The sequence below is a fragment of the Homo sapiens genome, chromosome 20 (genome assembly GCF_000001405.40).
Source record: "Homo sapiens chromosome 20, GRCh38.p14 Primary Assembly".
In the NCBI taxonomy this organism is placed as follows: domain Eukaryota; kingdom Metazoa; phylum Chordata; class Mammalia; order Primates; family Hominidae; genus Homo; species Homo sapiens.
In genome coordinates this window covers 10,392,160-10,412,360 of record NC_000020.11, presented here as the reverse complement: position 1 = coordinate 10,412,360, position 20,201 = coordinate 10,392,160, and the positions used below count along the sequence as shown (strand labels likewise).

The following is a 20,201-nucleotide window of genomic DNA, read 5'->3' as shown; positions in this document are numbered from 1 at the left end:
ACTAAAAATGCAGTGATTATAGCCATTTTCTATGTATTTTCAGCCCCCTAATGTACTATATCATCTAACCCCCAAATATTTTACAGGTTATTGAGAAGTCTAACATCCCCATAATCCTAAGGTCTTTCATACTTTACACAAAATTCTTCAGCCTCAATTGACAAAACTTTTAAATCATGTTATATTTAGAAAGTAATTTTGTAACTAGAATGACCCTTTTTCTTCACTTTGTCATAATTCCAGCAAACTTCTGTACTTCTCCTTAAGTAGTTGTTTCTAATGGGAGGGGGATGTACATGCACCTATGTTTTACCTATATCAAAACTGTTCCCACCTGACCTTGAGAACCAAGATCATCTTTTACTTTCAGCACCTATTACAGGCCTGGCCCACTGTGGGTGTTCTAAAGTGTTTGTTGAATTGACCGAAATATATTTGGTAATATACAGAACTAAAATAGGCAAAAAATTCACTGTATTTTACAAACTCAGCAAATTAAAAGCAGATATAAGTACTGTTAGAGCCAAAGAAAAATGACAAGCTGAAGAGTTCCTGATGTGAGCTACTTTTCAGTATCCTTTAACTGCTTTGACAATCTATCAGAAAGATGATCATTTAGTCTGCATTGTTTCCAATTTTTAAGTTACTAGACTTAAACCATTGTTAAAGTTTATTTAATAAAAGTCTTAGTATAAATTATCAAAAAGGAGCCATATGTATGCCAAGTGTTGAATACATAATATCTCTGGGTTATTGCCCTACCTTGGTAAGACTCAAATGACTGTCAAAAGTAGAGTTTCTTAATAATGGAAATAATTCCTTGGAACTCGTTGTTGGTATGGTAAGTCAGACTGATAGCCTTAAATATCTACTAGCTTTGCATGAATCTGGCAATTTCCAGTTTGTGAATACTGGGTCTTCCAGACTCATTTTTAAAATATGGGACACTTTAGCTGGGTGTGGTACATGCCTGTAGTCCCAGCTACCTGGGAAGTTGAGGCAGGAGGATTACTTGAGCCAAGGAGTTCAAGTCCAGCCTGGGCAACAAAGCAGGACTACATCTAAAAAAACAGAAAGGGCTGGGCGGTGGCTCATGCCTGTAATCCCAGCACTTTGGGAGGCCAAGGTGAGCGGATCACAAGGTCAGGAGATCGAGACCATCCTGGCCAACATGGTGAAACCCCATCTCTACTAAAAATACAAAAAAATTAGCTGGGCATGGTGGCCGCACTTGTAATCCCAGCTACTTGGGAGGCTGAGACAGGAGAATTGCTTGAACCCAGGAGGTGGAGGTTGCAGTGAACCGAGATTGCGCCACTGCACTCCAGCCTGGTGACAGCAAGATTCCCTATCAAAAAAAAAAAAACCAAACATTTTCCCGTAGAAACCATATTGTAACTGGGGGCTGGGTTTCCACACTAGCCCATAATATATACCTAAACATGGCATTAATAGCCATAGCTTTAGTCCTGGATCTTGGGAGCAGAGAGCTTTTGAGAAAAAAAGAAAAGGGGGAAAACTACCAGGCACATAGCGCAGGTAAACTTTTAGGTAGATGAAGTATGTTTTTGGCCTTACCTATCTCCCCTGGTAATCTAAGTTAACATTACCTCATTTCAGGCCTTCAAACAAAATTCCTGTTTATTAATGATATAGGTTGTGTAGTGGGTGTTACTGTGGATGGGTGCCACATGTGAAGCATATTGCAGCTTACAGAGGTTTTTGTTTGTTTTAAGGTGGAGTCTCACTCTATCGCCCAGGCTGGAGTGCAGTGGCGCAATCTCGGCTCACTGCAACCTCTGCCTCCTGGGTTCAAGCAATTCTGTCTCAGCCTCCCTAGTAGCTGGAACTACAGGCACACGCCACCACGCCTGGCTAGTTTTTTGTATTTTTAGTAGAGACAGGTTTCACCATATTGGTCAGGCTGGTCCTGAACTCCTGAGCTCAGGTGATCCACCCATCTCAACCTCCCAAAGTACTGGGATTACAGGCATGAGCCACCACGCCCGGCCTGGAGCATTTTTAACATTTGACTTGGTTTGATTTATTTGTGAAGTATGCATTATTATCCCCACTTGCCTCTCATGTGAGGGAGGCAGAAAAGTTAAATGACATGAGTGACAGCATCCAGTGGCTGATAAGCAGTAGAGCCGGCCTTCTCATGCAGAATCTGTTGTTCCCACCATGTGAAAGAAATTATACTATAAGATTTTGGGTTTTTTACTTAGATCACTTTTTTAAAGTATTCATTATTCTTGAATATTTCAGAAGTAAACAATATTCAAATAAGTGAAATTGTTTAGTGATTATATTCTATAAATTTTTTGAGATGGAAGTGTTTTTAGGCATTTTAGCTTTTTTTTTTTTTTTTTTTTTTTTTTTTGAGACAAAGTCTCGCTCTGTTGCCCAGGCTAGAGTGCAGTGGCGCAATCTCAGCTCACTGCTCACTGCAACCTCTGCCCCCCAGGTTCAAGCGATTCTCCTGCCTCAGCCTCCCAAGCAGCTGGGATTACAAGCACCTGCCACCACGCCCGGCTAGTTTTTGTATTTTTAGTAGAGACGGGGTTTCACCATGTTGGCCAGGCTGGTCTCGAACTCCTGACCTTAGGCAATGCCCGCCTCAGCCTCCTAAAATGCTGGGATTACAGGCATGAGCCACTACACCCGGCCGACATTTTAGACTTTCAAACTAAACCCCATTAGTTTGAAAGAAACCATCTTTTAAAGGTGAGTCTGAAAGAAAAGGAAACTAGCTGAAAGGGGTGAATGGCTCAGAATTATAGCTTTAGACTTTAGTATTGTTTCTTGTAGGAGTTTGATGTAGGTTTCTTTTCTTACATAACTTCCATTACGTTTGGAGATTTGGAAAATTCAAGTCACGCTAACTTCTTTATTCATATTTTTACTTGTGGTTTATAAAACTTCACTATTTTACATGTGCAGGTAGGAGGACAAAATACTTAATATATCAAATAATAGCAGTGAAATAAGCATGTCACTTTATTTTGGCATAATTCAGTTAGCTATTTTATAAATAGTTGCCAGACAAAAAAATAATTCTTACATATTCACTATGTAGCGTCCCGAAGGAATTCAACTACACAACTATTTGGATAGCAGCATTTATTTTAAATTGAAAATAATAATGCCTTTAAAAAAAAATAGCCTGTCACATCACCCGTAATCCAAATTAGTGAAGTTCTTAATTTGGGGTCTCTAAACCCTGAATGGGCTTTGAGGGTTTTCTGAATTCCTTGAAAATGTATGCAAAATTGTATGTGCCCTTTTCTGGGAAGACAGTACAAAATGACTTCTAAAAGATTTTCAAAGAGATCTGTAAACAAAAATAACTTCTACTTTACTTTATTTGTATATCATTTTAATAGCAGAATATAACTTAGCAGTTTAGGAATATTCATCTTATTTATCCTGTATTTCATATTTTAAATTATATGCTTGTGGGGCTTTTATGTTGGCTAGGAATAAATATACTTTTAAATGGTTGTTTGCTCCACTTTTGCTTATACAACTTGTATTTTCTAATCTTTAAAAAATAGGAACACAGCCTATTGGATCCCTAGGCTCAATATGTCCTAATAGTTATGGAAGTGTGAAAGATGTGTGCACTGCAAAATTTGGCTCCAAACATTTTTTTCATCTTATTCCTAATGAAGCAACAATCTGCAGCTTGCTTCTCTGCAACAGAAATGACACTGCCTGGGATGAGCTGAAGGTAGGTAATGAACTTTGAATTCCATATGCAGAGGCTGAGGGAGGAATTAGTCACTCAATAGTTATTATGATTTTTTTTTCGTAGCTTCCCTAGGTAGTATAGAAAGCAAAAATTAAAATGATTGATGCAAAGTCACAAGTAAGCTAATTTAAATGCCTGTGGCATTATAATAAATTTGGCATGTGTTGCCATTTATTATTTCTACTATTTACTAGAAACCTAAAAGGCCCTTGACATGCGAACTTTTCTAAGAAATTAGCTTGAATTGTGTAGTCTTTGATGGTAATGTGTATGAATAATTCACTTGGAAAAATGAGTTCCCCAGTCAATACCCATCATCCACTTCTTAGCAGAGTTTCCTGTTCTCTGCCAGCAATAATACATGCAACTTTTATACAAGGGAAATGATAATCTATGGGATTGGTCACAAGTTTTAAAGATTCATGTATGCTCAAGGATATATCCTTAGTAAATGTTAAAGGTCTGTGTGATTTTTTATTTATTATTGCTGGGATGTAACTGTATTATTTCCAAATCCATTCAAAATAAATTTATTATTTAGACTGAAATGATTTTTTTAGTGGAAGTGTCAGCAAACCTTGTTGACCCAGATATTTTGAGGCCATATATTCGTCTCAGTTTGAAGAGCTAAGTGTATATGAAAGAAAATACTAATCTGGCTCCGTGAAAACAAACTTCTGACTGAAGTATCTTCCCTTAATCTCTAAACCTTACTATTCAGAATGTATTAATCACATGACAACCTTGGCACCACACAAGTTTTGTTCTTTTGTAATTAAAATCACACTCTCTGTATTCACTATGATGCTTTGAGAGCATGATTTTTTGTGTGTTAATATGATGTGAACGTCTGATTCTGATGATTTGGGTTTTTTCTTAGCTCACGTGTCAGACGGCACTGCATGTCCTGCAGTTAACACTCAAGGAACCATGGGCTTTGTTGGGAGGTGGCTGTACTGAAACTCATTTGGCTGCATATATCAGACACAAGGTATGTAAGATAATCCTCTTCGGATTACCTGAATTCTCAGCAACTTTTGTTTTCTGAGATAATAAGCCAAAATCATAATATCCTATAGTCTTTTTGTTAGTTTTAACTTTTAGGTTCAGGGGTGCATGTATAGGTTTGTTATACAGGTAAACTTGTAGCCTTTAACACTGAATTTTTCAGTAGTCTAAATAAAGTAGATAATCAAAAACACTTGAGGGAAATAACAAGGTAAATATAAGGTAATATCCTTATTACAATGATTATTATAAAAATATTTAAGCAAGCGATCACGTTCTTTGAGTATTGTCTACATGTTCTGCATGTTGAAGCTAGCATTCTGTTATTGGGAGTTCTCTTAGAGATCTCAACTGCTGCAATACAGTAATAATTGATGTTCACAAACAAAAGGGCCAAGTTTCTACAGAATACTTCAGTATCTTCTAGAGCATCAAGAAAAGTTTCATTTATTTAAGCAATTCACATATTAGATTCTATTATAATTTTAAAATTGGTATTTATGTATGTTATTTATTAATTATACTAAATAGAATTTTTTGATTGGTCTAGGAAACTCCATTTCCTGACAGCTCTCAGATAAGTTTAGTGCATTGTTGTTCTGATTATTTCATAAGTACTGGCCTACTTTATTTGAAAATGGATAGAAAAAGGTATAGGTGTTTTCCAGATATTAGCAATCGATTCATTGGGTAAACATGCCCTGTCCTTCCCCAAATAACTTAGAATCTCTTTGAAGATAAAGCACATTCATGAAAAGTTATCAGAATATACATTATGGAAAACAAAATTTGTGCCAATCTATTGGTGCTGAATGGACAATAATGTATTCTGAAATGGAATTGATAAACTAGAGAAAGTTTTTTAGAGGAAGGAGGTGTCTTGAGTAGGAAAGTAGTCACTGTTTTTAAGCAGTTAAGATATGGATTTTTTAACCCATCATTCAGTTATTAGTTTGCTAATACAGACATGTTGCTTAACAAAGATATATTCTGAGAAATGCATCATTAGACAATATTGTTGTGCAAACAATATAGAGTGTACTTGCACAAACCTACATGGTAGAGCCTACCACACTCCTAAGCTATGTGGTATAGCCTATTGCTCCTAGGCTACAAACCCTTACAGCATATTACTGTACTGAATACTGTAGGTAATTGTAACACAATGGTATTTATGTATCTAAACATATCAACACACAGAAAAGGTTAGTAAAAATATGGCCTTATAATCTTATGGGACCACTGTTGTATATGCAGTCTATCATTGACTGAAGTGTTGGTATGTGGTGCATGGCTATATATTAATTTTTCTTTTTATCATGGAATTTCTAGGATAAACATTTTTAAATAGTGGAACCAGAAGACTGTTTAAGGTCTTATTACCTTTTCATTAATTTAAAGAGAAGAATATTCATTTTTAAAACATTGATATGAAAATTTACATCATGATTTCCAAATAAAAATATGTGCATTCCCATTTTAAGCAAATCTCAAACATTTTGCAGAGATAAATAAGTACTCCATTTGGGACATCAGTCTTCAGGAACTTCCTCCTGTGTGCAGAAAAACCTGTAATACATGTATTATGCCTAGTCCTTCATGTATTAAGGAGGCACTACCAAGCCTCATTCAGAATAAGCTGATGGTGGGGTTATTCTGATTCACTCATTCTGGTAACATGACTGGTAGTATATACATTTTTAATACATTTTTACTATAACCAACCTAGTTAAGGGTTTGCAACCCGGCCGGCTGACCCATACAAGCCCGTTAGCATTGTGCCAGACCCCAAATTAAATGAAAGTAAGTAATTACTTTAGGAATAAGATTTTGATTTCAGTATCTTATTTTTCTGAAACATTTTATATTAATTGCTTTGTATGTGTTTTCAATGTTTTTATTACTCTTTAGACTCACAACGACCCAGAAAGCATTCTCAAAGATGATGAATGTACTCAAACAGAACTTCAATTAATTGCTGAAGCATTTTGCAGTGCCCTAGAATCTGTTGTTGGCTCTTTAGAACATGATGGAGGTGAAATTCTCACTGACATGAAGTATGGACACCTTTGGTCAGTTCAGGCAGATTCTCCCTGTGTTGCTAACTGGCCAGATTTGCTTTCACAGTGTGGCTGTGGATTATACAATAGCCAGGAAGAACTCAACTGGTCTTTCTTAAGAAGCACACGTCGTCCATTTGTGCCACAAAGCTGCCTTCCACATGAAGCTGTGGGCTCAGCCAGCAACCTGACCTTGGACTGTTTGACTGCAAAGCTTAGTGGCCTACAGGTGGCTGTAGAGACAGCCAATTTGATTTTGGATCTTTCATATGTTATTGAAGATAAAAACTAAGAGAATAGCATGTTCGTATTACAAGAGAAACAAATAAACTAGTCTGTTGGCAATTGAGAAAAATTGTGAGTGTATTTGTTTTCTCCCAAAGCCCTGTTCTACATATTTGGACAAATGACTCATAAAATTATAGATACACTTATTTAGGAAAAAAGGTGATTCGTGAATGGAAATGCCATGAAACAATAAAAATATGAAGCATTATTTATTTAAAAATATTATAGTTATCTTAGGGATTCTATACTGGCTGCTGTACATTGTTCTAAATTTTTGTTATGTTGGCATCATTTTGAGAGCAAACAAATAAAAAAGACTCCTAATCCATGCTCTAGTTTGGATATACATATTTTAGATATTTTCCAGTTAGCAGTAATTACATATGCTTAAAGTATAAAACTAGATCTCAAAGTGTCACAAAACATTCAGTATATATTGCTCAATCAAAAGAAGTATTCAAACTGCACATTTAGTAAAATTTCACTTTTCTCCATGCCCTTTATCTCAAGCTATATTCTTCAGTGGTTAGGTAATTGAGTAGAACCTGGTTTGCCTGCAATTTGTAGTTTATATCACAACTCCACATTTTTGTTATTTTGGGGAAATGTTTGCTTTTGGGGGGAAAAAGTAGATTTATATAGTAACCAAGGCTAAAGCAACATTGTAATGTCTTCATTTTTAAAGTGGGAAGAAGGACTGGTTTGTTTTACACTGGGGTTTCTCAACTTTGGCATTATTGACATTCTGAGCCCCATAATTCTTTGTTGTACGGAGGCTGCCCTGTGCATTACAGCTTACTGAGCAGCATCCCTGGCCTCTGCACACTAGATGCCAGTAGCACCCTCCTGTTGTGACAACCAAAAATGTTTCCAGACATTGCCAAATGTCCCCCGAAGAGCAAAACTGTTGTTGGTTGAGAACCATAGACTGATAGAAAAAGGAAGGACAATAAGGAGTATTCTAGCAGGACTTCAGAAAGCAGCATAAAGGGAAGGGGAAGTTATTTCTCTAGTCAATAGTATGAAAAAGAAAGTAGAAAATCTCCCATGTTCAAAGTAGAGACATTATGTTTCACCAAGGGATGTAGTTTGAATTTTATGCAAATATAAGATGTATTGATAAATTGAAGAAGAAATATAGAAGGCAGCCACATGAATAAGCATGGAGCTATAACAAATGTTGTATTAAACTTTAGGAAAATATTTTGGAAATTTTTGGGAAACAAACCAACCTAATAGTCAATGATCAGATCTATAGCCATGATAAAGAGAAATAGAATTGTTAAACAATTTCCTCTGATATTCTTGTAATCAAAAAGAATTTTTACTCTGAGCCAAAGGAAAAAACTAGCAATACAAGCAGCAATGCCATCCATATATGTTAGGTATCAGCCCCACCTGAAGTCTCATAAAATATTTATCAAAAGTTTTACTCCTTTTATTATTACAATCAAATAGAAGGGCAGTGTGGTAGGCAGCCTCTAAGGTGGCCCCACCTCCTAGTTTCAGACCTTGCATAATTTCCTCCCCTTGAGCATGGGCTAGACTTAGTGACTCCTTTATGTCTCCCATTTCCCAGCTTTGTGGACAGAATGTTATGGTGATGGTTATGGTTATGCCTTATCCATAATTTTATGCTGTGAGTAGAAGGCAGATAACTTTTCTCTAGTTTCATGGGTCTACAGATGGAAAGCAACTGTGTTCCAGGAACTGTACTTAAAGAACTACCTCCTGAGGAAGCCTGGGGTGATTCCAGTTATGATATCACCCTGACTTGATTCCAATTATGAGATTCTGAACTTTGAGCTGATGTTGTAATGCAAAAGTGAAACTTTTGAGGATCTGAGGAGTAGGGGGGACGTATTTTGCATGTGGTAGGCAGCCTCTAAGATGGTTCCCAATAATCTCACTTCCTGGTGGTTCACTCTCTGGGTGTAGGTGGGACCTAATGACTAGCTTCTAATGAATAGAATACAGCAGAAGGGACAGGATATCACTTCTGATATTTGGTGGTAAAAAGATGAGTTTGTCTCTTGATGCCTTCTCTCTCAATGGAAGCCAGCTGTCATGTTGGGAACTGCCCCCTGGGGAGGCCCACATAGCAAGGGTTGAGGGAGGCTTCTAGCCAACAGCTCAAAAGGAACTGAATCGTACCAATAACCACAAGAGTGAATTTGGAAGCAGGTTCTCCCCAGTGGAACCTTGAGTTGAGTATAGCCCTACCACTGGAGCCACACGAGAGACCCTGATGCAAAAAAGCCAGCTAAGCTACTCCCAGGTTGGTTCCTAACCCACAAAATCTGTGAGATAATAAATGTTGTTTTAAGTCAAATTTGGGATGTACTTTCTTATACAGCAATAGCTATCTAATAAAGGCAGGAGGAAAAGCTTATTTGTAATAAATTATTTACTGAAAACTTGGTCACATAAATGGAAAAAAGCATTCTTGATGCCATGCCTTTGCATTTTTATCATCACCCCAACCTAAAAGAAGGGTTCTTTATCACATGTGTTTACAATGTGTCACATAGGAGTTGGGTATTGTCCTGGTTCTCTTTGCCCTTATCCTGCATTTTTTCAAGTTCCTCCAAGAAGGGGTGACACAGCGAACCTCTCCAATTGATCTTATAGATTAGGGGCTTCTACTTTTCACGATAGCCACTTTTTAAATTCTATCATTTTTAGCTTTGCCATACAATTTGATTACATTCCTTAGTGAAACATCAATGCTCTTATTTTGAATATATCACAAATTCGTTAAAATATATTTACAAATACCTCTATGTTTCCTAAAGTTATAATAATCCCTAGCAGAAAACACTGGAAATAGAAAAAAAGAGAAAAAAAACCTTCCTCTATAGTTCAAGAAAATTAGCGTTCAAACTTAGATGATAAAACATGAAATGAAAATTCTTGATGAAAATAATTTTAGAGGAGTTCCTTTTGGCAGAAATAAATGATAAGTAAAAATAGCAACTAAGGTAAGCCTCAGGCAGTGTTTTGTGACTTAAAGTAAGATTGAGGTCTGAATATTGCATTATGAAGTACCTCAGGAGAGAGAATGGGAAACCGTGATCGCTGTGGAAAAGGAAAGGGAGAGTGTGAAGAAGAAAATGAAGTCGGTGACAGCTGCTCAATAATTTCGTGGGACTCTCAGGACATGTAACATTAAACGTTATTCAACCATAGGAGTCCAACAGGATTATCATCTTATTAATCAAAAGGCATTAGGATTTTAGCAGCAAGGAAGAAAGTGGAGAGCTACAGCAAATAAAGGAAACTTTTAATCAAATACTTATTTGGTCTTATAGATATCCTACCCTTTAATTCTTCCATTTGTACCATATTAGAGAGTCTTTATATGTTAGACATTGTAAGTCAACTGTTAGACTGAAGCACTTTATGTAAGTGAAGTATTTTACACAAGATATTTAAACTATATCACATTAATATCTTTTATTATAGGTATCCTTGAACTCATTTGGTTTGTATTATCAAAGCTACTTAGGCATTTACATTGTAGACAAGAAATTTGAAGTAACCATAAATCAGCCATTGTACTATGTATTTTCATATTGTTGTTCATATTGTTGAGCAGTTCTTTGGATAACTTTAAAATAAAATAATGTTGTTTACCATCACATACATTATGCAGGTTATTTAAAATTATCATGTAAAAAATCAATGCAGGCCTTGACAAAACATACAATTAGTTAGGTTATTCCTTCCTGATAATCTTTGGGGAATAGTCAAAGAGACTAAACATCTCCTACAAGGCCCTGTTTCAGCTGTCTAAATAAAGCTATCTCTTAATCTGAAGGAAAAGTCAATTTTGAATATCTGATATCTTTATAATTTTTTTCATGTAGCTAAGTGCTTCCATTTAGTAACTATTGTATCCCATAATGGAAGTTTTTGCCAATCATCTACAGAATTTGAATTTAGATGCACCTAAACCCAATGTTAGCCTACTTTTGGATTATAAGTAGATTTATATGCTGCTTTACTAAGAATATAGTAATATTCATGAAAGAGAATGCAATCCCTGAAAACTATTCCTAAATGTAAGTGAAGCTGTTTGTTGGAGAGACGATTAGTCTTGGCGCACTAAAATCCATAGAATACTATATTACCTGTAATGAAGTGTGAATTTAGAGGGAAATAAAACAGCTTGACAATCTCCTATTAAAAATTCTCTTTGAGAAAATACTTATAATAAACATCTTATTTTAGCCATCTTGATTTTGTTTCTAGTATTGTGGTTTGATTTTGGGAAGTATTAATTGAGCCCTTTCTGTTTGCAGATAGGATAGTCAAGCGTATTTGGCGGTGAGAAGAGGAAAAAACAACACAGAAATTTGTTCACAGTCTCTGGCCTCAACAAGTTGATCATCTAGCCAGGGAGAATTTTTTTTTTTTTTTTTTTTTTTTTTTTTTGAGATGGTGTTTCGCTCTTGTTGCACAGGCTGGAGTGCAATGGCGCGATCTCAGCTCACTGCAACCTCCGCCTCCTGGGTTCAAGGATTCTCCTGCCTCCGCCTCCCGAGTAGCTGGGATTACAGGCATGTGCCACCATGCCCGGCTAATTTTGTATTTTTAGTAGAGATGGAGTTTCTCCATGTTGGTCAGGCTGATCTCGAACTCCTGACCTCATGTGATCTGCCCGCCTTGGCTTCCCAAAGTGCTGGGATTATAGGTGTGAGCCACCGCGCCTGGCCGAGATTTTTTTTTTTAATTATTAATTTTATAAGTTAAACATGTTGTAATAGAAAACTGGGAAAATATGAATCAGACACACACACAGACACACACACACTAAAGTCAAGTATATTCCTGCTATCTTCAGAGATAATCAGTGTTTACATTTTCTATGTATCTTTTCAGTTTGTTTTCTGCATGGATTTTTCCAAAAAGATGATCATACAGTATGTTCTGTTTTATAATCTATTCCTTTTACTTAATATGTCATGAACATCATACACATATAGAATTCTACACATTCTGTTATTACATCATGTTTCTTTTAACTTTTATGGGTACCTAGTAGGTATATATATTTATTGGGTATATAAGATATTTTGATGCAGGCATACAATGTGTAATAATCACATCAGGGTAAATGGAATATATTATATCATTTTTAATGCCTGAAGAAATTTTAGTTATAAAGATTATGCCATAATTTAGTTAATAAATTGGTATTAGTAAACCTTTGGGTTGTTTTCAAAATTTTTGTGTTAATATATGCAACAATGCAGTGAACATACTGTATATATTGTTTTCCCATATCCCTGATTATTTCTTCAGGATAAATAAATATAATTCAGGTTTCTGGGTCCAAGTGTACTGGAAATGGAAAGACTACATGTTATCTACCCCCAGTGATTTTTTTAAATATTAGTTTTAAAAGGAGAGTCCATTTTCAGTTACTAAATTGGCAAAGATAGTAACTATTGTTGGCAAAAGTTTAGGAAAAGGAGCACTTTCACACTGTGGTTGCGGTATATTGATGTGACATCTGGAGGACGATTATATAATAGATTGCCTTCCATTTCTAGTACACTAGTCAAATGCTTCTGAAATGCCTTCCACATTTTCTATCAGTAAGTTTATCTTTCTCATATGCATTTTTATTTTTGTATTTATTTTCTCATATGCATCATTAAAGATATATACATATTCAGGTAATCTTTAGAGCAAATGCATAGCCTCTCTTCATGGGCTGAACGTTCAGCCGCACATCCCCAAGCTAGACATGACGTCTTCTTAATGATACAGTTTTGTACCCATCTGTTGACTTGTCACTCACAAGCAGCAGCAAAACACCTATGTGGTATGATGAATTCAAACAATAAACAAACTATTGCCCTTAAGTTTTTACTACCTTCAACTCTTATGGTGTCTATGAAATGGGGTGGTATATTAGTTTTTTAGGGCTGCCATAACAATTGCCACAAAAGTAGTGGCTTAAAATAACAGAAACGTATTCTCTCTGTTTTAGACACTAGAAGTTTGTCATCAAAGTGTTGTTGGCAGGGCTATGCTCCCTCCGGAGGCTCTAGGGTTAATCATTCCTTACCTTCTCCAGCCTGTAGTAGCTGTCACCACTACAATCTGCCCTTGTATTCACATGGCCTTCCACCGCCCTCTCTGTGTGTCAAATATCCCTCTCCTTTCTCTTGCAAGGACACCAGTGATTGGATTTAGGGCCCACCCTAAATCCAGGATGATGTCATCTCAAGATCCTTAATTGCACTTGCAAAGACCCTGTTTCCAAATAAGGTCACATTCACAGGTAGCAGGACTTAGGTCTTTGGACATATCTTTTGGGGGGACATCATTCAACTCACCACAGATGGTAAAAAACTGCCAAGATGTAAATCCTTCTCCAGGGCTACAGATGCACAGAAAGCAAAATACAGTCATCCCTGGGAATTCTTGGGGCATTAGTTCCTGGACCTCCTTGGATATCAGATTCCTTAGGCAAAATGGCACAGTATTTGCATGTAACCTACACACATCCTCCTGTATACTTTAAATTATCTCTAGATTACTTATAATACCTAAAACAATGTAAATGCTATGTAAATAATTGTTACGCTGTATTTTTTATTTTTGTTATTTCAAATATTTCCCATCCACAGTTGGTTGAATCCACAGATGTGGAACCTGCCATATGGAAGGCCAACTGTGTGCCCAATGTGGACAGAAGGTACCAATGCCAGGTTTTACCACCAAGCTTATCAAATCATTTCTTAGTTTATTGTCGTTCTTTGATTATAATCGTCTTTTTTGGTAGGGTGCAGTCTCTTTTCTCTCTTTTTTTCCTTAAATTGTCCTAGACCTGACATTCTTCCCTACTCCCCTTTTCTACCTGCATCATCTTCATTCATTACATAGGTATATGTAATACCTAGTGCATTCTCCTGCACTAGGTATTACATATAAACTAGCTACTGGGGCTGGGCACAGTGGCTCATGCCCATAATCCCAGCAGTTTGGGAGGCTGAAGCAGGTGGATCACTTGAGGTCAGGAGTTCAAGACCAGTCTGGCCAACATAGCAAAAACCTGTTTCTATGAAGAATACAGAAATTAGATGGGCATGGTGGTGTGCACCTGTAATCCCAGCTACTCAGGAGACTGAGACATGAGGATAGCCTGAACCCGACAGGTGGAGGTTGCAGTGAGCCAATATTGTGCCACTACACTCCAGCCTGGGCAACGAGTGAGACTCTGTCTAAAAAACAAACAAAAACAGAAAAAATGACCTACTGGGCATTGAACCATATTTTCTCTATACTCAGATAATTTATATAAAGACATATGAAGAAAAATTTTGTACATGCTTTTGTAAAAGAAAAAAAAAGATCATTTTATATAACTTTGACCTGCTTTTATATAACTTTGATCTGCTTTTACATAACTTTGATCTGCTTTTTTCAGAAAAGTCTCTAAGTCATCTGAAAAAGCTAATTCCTTTCTTTAATGGTCACATACTATGCCTGTAGAGATTGTAGTGGAAGATGTTGGTGTCCCACCCAGGTCCCATTTGAACTGGCCTAGTGTACCCATCCCCAAATCCTGCGAGCATTAGCTGCTAATGGCTTACAGCTACCTCTTCTCAGGAGAGCTACTCTAAACCCAGAGGCCACCTTGCCAGAGAGGTTATGACAAGAAGATTTTTATATCTGCCTTCCTCCTGTATGTCTGTACCCATAGACAATGACTTTGTACATATATTCTTTTTAAGAAGGCCAATAACTTTGTACACATATTGTTACCTACTTATGTTTTCATTTATAAGTGTTAGATTCTAATGAATGAAACCTCCAGGTCAGAAAAAGATTTGCACTCTTTACTAAGTATTGCCTCATTATTTTGCAAAAGACTGTAACAATTCATAATTCTACCAGCCATTCATGAGTACCATTTCCCATAACCTCATTACCTATTGCCACTGCCAGTTAGTAATAGGTACTATGTTCTTTTTTATTTTACCAATTATTAGTTCCTTGTTATTTTGTTTTGAAGTTTCTGATTACTAATGAATTTGAGTATTTAAAAAATATATTGCTAGCCATTTGGATTTGTTCTTCTTTGAATTATCTATATTTATTGCCCATTTTCTTATTTTTCTTATTTGTAAGAGTGCTTTGTGCATTATAAATGCTATTAAAGATATTAACCTTTCATCTATCCTCTTTGGTACAAATATTTTTTGCAAATTGTTTTCTATTTCTTTCAATCATAGGATGCTTTACCAATTAAAACGCTTTAATTTTTCTCTAATCAAATATGTCTATGTTTTCTAGTCTGGGTTTCTTATCTTGATTAAAAACCCTTAGGTCTTCTAAATATTCTCCTAAGCATTTTGCCTTGTACATTTAAGTTTTAATCTATCTGTAATTATATATATATATGATATGAGGTATAGGTTCAGTTTAATTTTCTTCTAGATGGAGAACCAGTTGTGTCAACATCAATTATTTTTAAAATATCTTTTCCCAGCAAGTTGAAATACCACCCTTGTCATATATTACATTCTCATTTATGGGAAATTTATTTCTAAACTGTCTTTTCGACTAATTTTTTTTGCCTTTTCTTAAAGCAATACCACACTTATTGATTATAATCATGTCTTAAAATTTTTAGTATCTGCTAAAGGAATTCCCTATTTCACTATTTTTCTCTTTAATATACCCCTTGGCTATTTTTTAGTTTTATTCTTTCATATAAATTTATAGATCATTTCATGTAATTATAAAATGAATTACATTGGAATTCAATTCAGGTTTATATATTAATTTGCAGAAACATTAACATTCTTGGGTTATCAAGTGTTTCCACTCAAGAACGTGGTAATCATTTCATTAATTCAAATCATATTTCATTATCTTTATTAAGATTTTAAAGTTTTCAGTATAGGTTTTAAACCTTTTATGTTAATTTTTAAGCATCTCATTGTTATGTTGCTATTTTAAATAGAATAATTTTCAATTACTAAATGCCCAATACTATATTTCTATATTTTTCGAAGACCATGAATACTGCTCACTGCTAATGGAGATAATAAAGCACAGATACTTTTAAGATCCATGAGGTTGTTTTCTTTTTCACATTTAACTTTTCTAAAATTGGAGTGTGTCTTAAAATCAAAGTATACATTATTTGATTTTTCTTTTTCCCTATAAAAAAACATATTTAAAGTTGATGATGTTTTACAGACATCAGACAGGTTTTACAGACTTTTACAGATTTGAGAAAATAAGTGAGCCTATGCAGTTTACAGAGCTGAAAGGAAGTGTGGCATAGCATTTTGAAGACAGAAAGACCCAGGTTTAAATACTTAAGTAAACTCTAACTTTTGTGAGCTTCTTAACCTTATGTGGTTGTTCTTAAGAACCAATGAAATGGCTCTCGGCTCTCCCCTCTCCCCTCTCCCATCTCCCCTCTCCCCAGGGTCTCCCTCTCCCTCTCTTTCCACGGTCTCCCTCTGATGCCGAGCCGAACCTGGACTGTACTGCCGCCATCTCTGCTCACTGCAACCTCCCTGCCTGATTCTCCTGCCTCAACCTGCCGAGTGCCTGCGATTGCAGGCGCACGCCGCCACGCCTGACTGGTTTTCGTATTTTTTTGGTGGGGACGGGGTTTCGCTGTGTTGGCCAGGCTGGTCTCCAGCTCCTAACCGCGAGTGATCCGCCAGCCTCGGCCTCCCGAGGTGCCGGGATTGCAGACGGAGTCTGGTTCACTCAGTGCCCAATGGTGCCCAGGCTGGAGTGCAGTGGCGTGATCTCGGCTCGCTACAACCTCCACCTCCCAGCCGCCTGCCTAGGCCTCCCAAAGTGCCGAGATTGCAGCCTCTGCCCGGCCGCCACCCCGTCTGGGAAGTGAGGAGCGTCTCTGCCTGGCCGCCCATCGTCTGGGATGTGAGGAGCCCCTCTGCCAGGCTGCCCAGTCTGGGAAGTGAGGAGCGCCTCTTCCGGGCCGCCATCCCATCTAGGAAGTGAGGAGCGTCTCTGCCCGGCCGCCCATCGTCTGAGATGTGGGGAGCGCCTCTGCCCCGCCACCCCGTCTGGGATGTGAGGAGCGCCTCTGCCCAGCCGCGACCCCGTCTGGGAACTGAGGAGTGTCTCTGCCCGACCGCCACCCCGTCTGGGAGGTGAGGAGCGTCTCTGCCCGGCCGCCCCGTCTGAGAAGTGAGGAGCCCCTCCGCCAGGCAGCCACCCCGTCTGGGAAGTGAGGAGCGTCTCCGCCCGGCAGCCACCCCGTCCGGCAGCCACCCCGTCCGGTAGGGAGGTGGGGGGCAGCCCCCGCCTGGCCAGCCGCCCCGTCCGGGAGGGAGGTGGGGATCAGCCCCCGCCCGGCCAGGCGCCCCGTCCGGGAGGGAGGTGGGGGGCGCCTCTGCCCGGCCACCACCCCATCTGGGAGGTGTACCCAACAGCTCATTGAGAACGGGCCATGATGACGATGGTGGTTTTGTGGAATAGAAAAGGGGGAAAGGTGGGGAAAAGATAGAGAACTCAGATTGTTGCTGTGTCTGTGTAGAAAGAAGTAGACATGGGAGACTTCATTTTGTTCTGTACTAAGAAAAATTCTTCTGCCTTGGGATGCTGTTGATCTATCACCTTACCCCCAACCCTGTGCTCTCTGAAACACGTGCTGTGTCCACTCAGGGTTAAATGGATTAAGGGAGGTGCAAGATGTGCTTTGTTAAACAGATGCTTGGAGGCAGCATGCTCGTTAAGAGTCATCACCACTCCCTAATCTCAAGTACCCAGGGACATAAACACTGCGGAAGGCCGCAGGGTCCTCTGCCTAGGAAAACCAGAGACCTTTGTTCACTTGTTTATCTGCTGACCTTCCCTCCACTATTGTCCTATGACCCTGCCAAATCCCCCTCTGCGAGAAACACCCAAGAATGATCAATAAAAATAAAAATTAAAATTAAAAAAAAATAGTTTAAAAAGTAAAATAATAATAATAATAATAATAATAATAATAATAATAATAGAAAAAACCTTATAGACTACTGTTTAAAATAAAATTTGCTATTTTGGCCAAAAAAAAAAAAAAAAAAAGAACCAATGGAATGAATTAAAAGCTCTTACTACAGAGCCAGGCACATAATGCACACTCAATAAATGGGAGGTAGGCAAAATATTCAAGTAAATTCCAACACTCTGACAATCACACATTATTTTAGCAATTTCAAAAACAAAAACAGTAAGAATGTCTTAAAAATTTAACTGAGATAAGGCAAAACTACAAATTTATAAGTTGAGTGGAGTTGTTACAAGGATATTTAATCATTTGCTTAATTTTGAAGTCCTCTTACAGGCTTAGTAACTTAACTGGGCATACTCTTATAATTCTCTTAGGTGGTGTTAGGGACTACACACAAGGGGCATATTTATTAAATCTCCCAACAGTCTTGGTCCACTAGAAAAATAGATAGATGTGCTAAGTTTTACTTTTTATCAGCACATTGGATATATCTATGAGTATCAAGTAGATTATTTTATTACAAAGGAATTTAATATTCCCTGGATTTAAGAAAGATGGATTGAGTTTTTATCAACAGCTTATTAATTAAAATTTGTTCCCAATGACTGGCTCTTAAAATATTATCAAAACTATTATTTTGCAAACCTTTACTTCTTTACTTTTATTTATATTTTTTGGCCGTAAGAAATGAATACATATGAAATAAGTTTCAATCTATTTTAAAATTATATAATAGCTTAGATATTCTTAGGTTACTTATCAAAATTAAAGAACTTTTAAAAACTAAAACAGAAATTCCTATCAATTTCTCAAGAGAAATTATCAGCCATTCTTATTTATTTTACTTAAGCATTTACTATGTATGAACATTTTATTAAATTAGATTTTTACTTAATGATAAAGTATAATGAAAAATTTTGTCTTAATATTTATAGCATATGAAACCAAGGGTTTAAAACACAAATGAATTCAAGTTCTTGTTTAAATACCTTTTTTACTCTTTATTGAGCATCGTAAGAAATAGCTTTGTCATTTTCTACTATAAATTAATTCCTGATAATCCTCAGAGATGAATCTGTCTTCTCATATTTGAATGCTTTCTGGTTTTATTTTCATTGTAATGAATGCTCTGATGTAAACACTAGGATTGTGCTTTGGAAATAGTTTTAAAATATGAAATTAAATATGGTACATTTGCAGGTTTTTTGGTCCTATGATTCTTACTTTCTTAGAACCAGATTATGTTTCTCCTCATTCACAGAGGTTGCAGTGAGCCAGGATTGCACCACTGTACTCTAGCCTGGCCTACAGAGTGTGACCCTGTCTCAAAAAAAAAAAAAAAAATTTCTCCTTATTCATTCGATGAAGACCTTTATTGGTTACCATGTCAAGTCATTGTGCATATATTTTTCCTGTTCAGTTTCAATTCTTCCATTCATTTGTTGAGCTCCTAGTGTCATAGCTAGGGATACCATAGTAAGTATGAAAAGACATAGTTCCTGGCCGGGCGCAGTGGCTCACGCCTGTAATCCCAGCACTTTGGGAGGCTGAGGTGGGCAGATCACAAGGTCAGGAGATCAAGACCATCCTGGCTAACATGGTGAAACCCCGTCTCTACTAAAAATACAAAAAAATTAGCTGGGCTTGGTGGCGGGCGCCTGTAGTCCCAGCTACTCAGGAGGCTGAGGCAGAAGAATGGCGTGAACCTGGGAGGCAGAGGTTGCAGTGAGCCGAGATCGTGCCACTGCACTCCAGCCTGGGCGACAGAGCGACACTCCATCTCAAAAAAAAAAAAAAAAAAAAAAAAGAAAAGACATAGTTCCTGTTCTGATTGAGCTTAATGTCTAAAATTCACCCACATAAAGGCTAAAATTCACCCACATAAAGGTACACTTACAACTAAACTATTAAGAGATAATCAATCTGTTATTTTGCTTTGTTTCTTTTTTTTCTCTTTTTTTTTTTTTTAAGACAGTCTTACTCTGCTACCCAGGCTAGAATGCAGTAGTGCAATCTTAGCTCCTGGGTTCAAGTGATTCTCATGCCTTGGCCTCTCGAGTGGCTGGGATTACAAGTGTGTGCCACC

The 20,201-nt window shown here is 37.3% G+C and overlaps 1 protein-coding gene across 3 annotated transcripts in view; it reads left to right on the top strand.

Annotated features, from left to right (window-relative positions):
* The window catches only part of MKKS (MKKS centrosomal shuttling protein), a 33,214-nt gene extending 21,862 nt beyond the window's left edge, over positions 1 to 11,352 (top strand). For 2 of the 3 annotated variants that reach the window (NR_072977.2, NM_170784.3), the window contains 3 exons: positions 3,558 to 3,733; positions 4,635 to 4,745; positions 6,674 to 11,352. Coding sequence is in view for 2 of the 3 variants with exons in the window: in NM_170784.3 (NP_740754.1) it covers positions 3,558 to 3,733; positions 4,635 to 4,745; positions 6,674 to 7,114 (728 nt within the window). In the remaining variant the exon portion in view is untranslated. The remainder of the gene's footprint in view (positions 1 to 3,557; positions 3,734 to 4,634; positions 4,746 to 6,673) is intronic. The other variant, NM_018848.3, reaches the window with a different exon arrangement.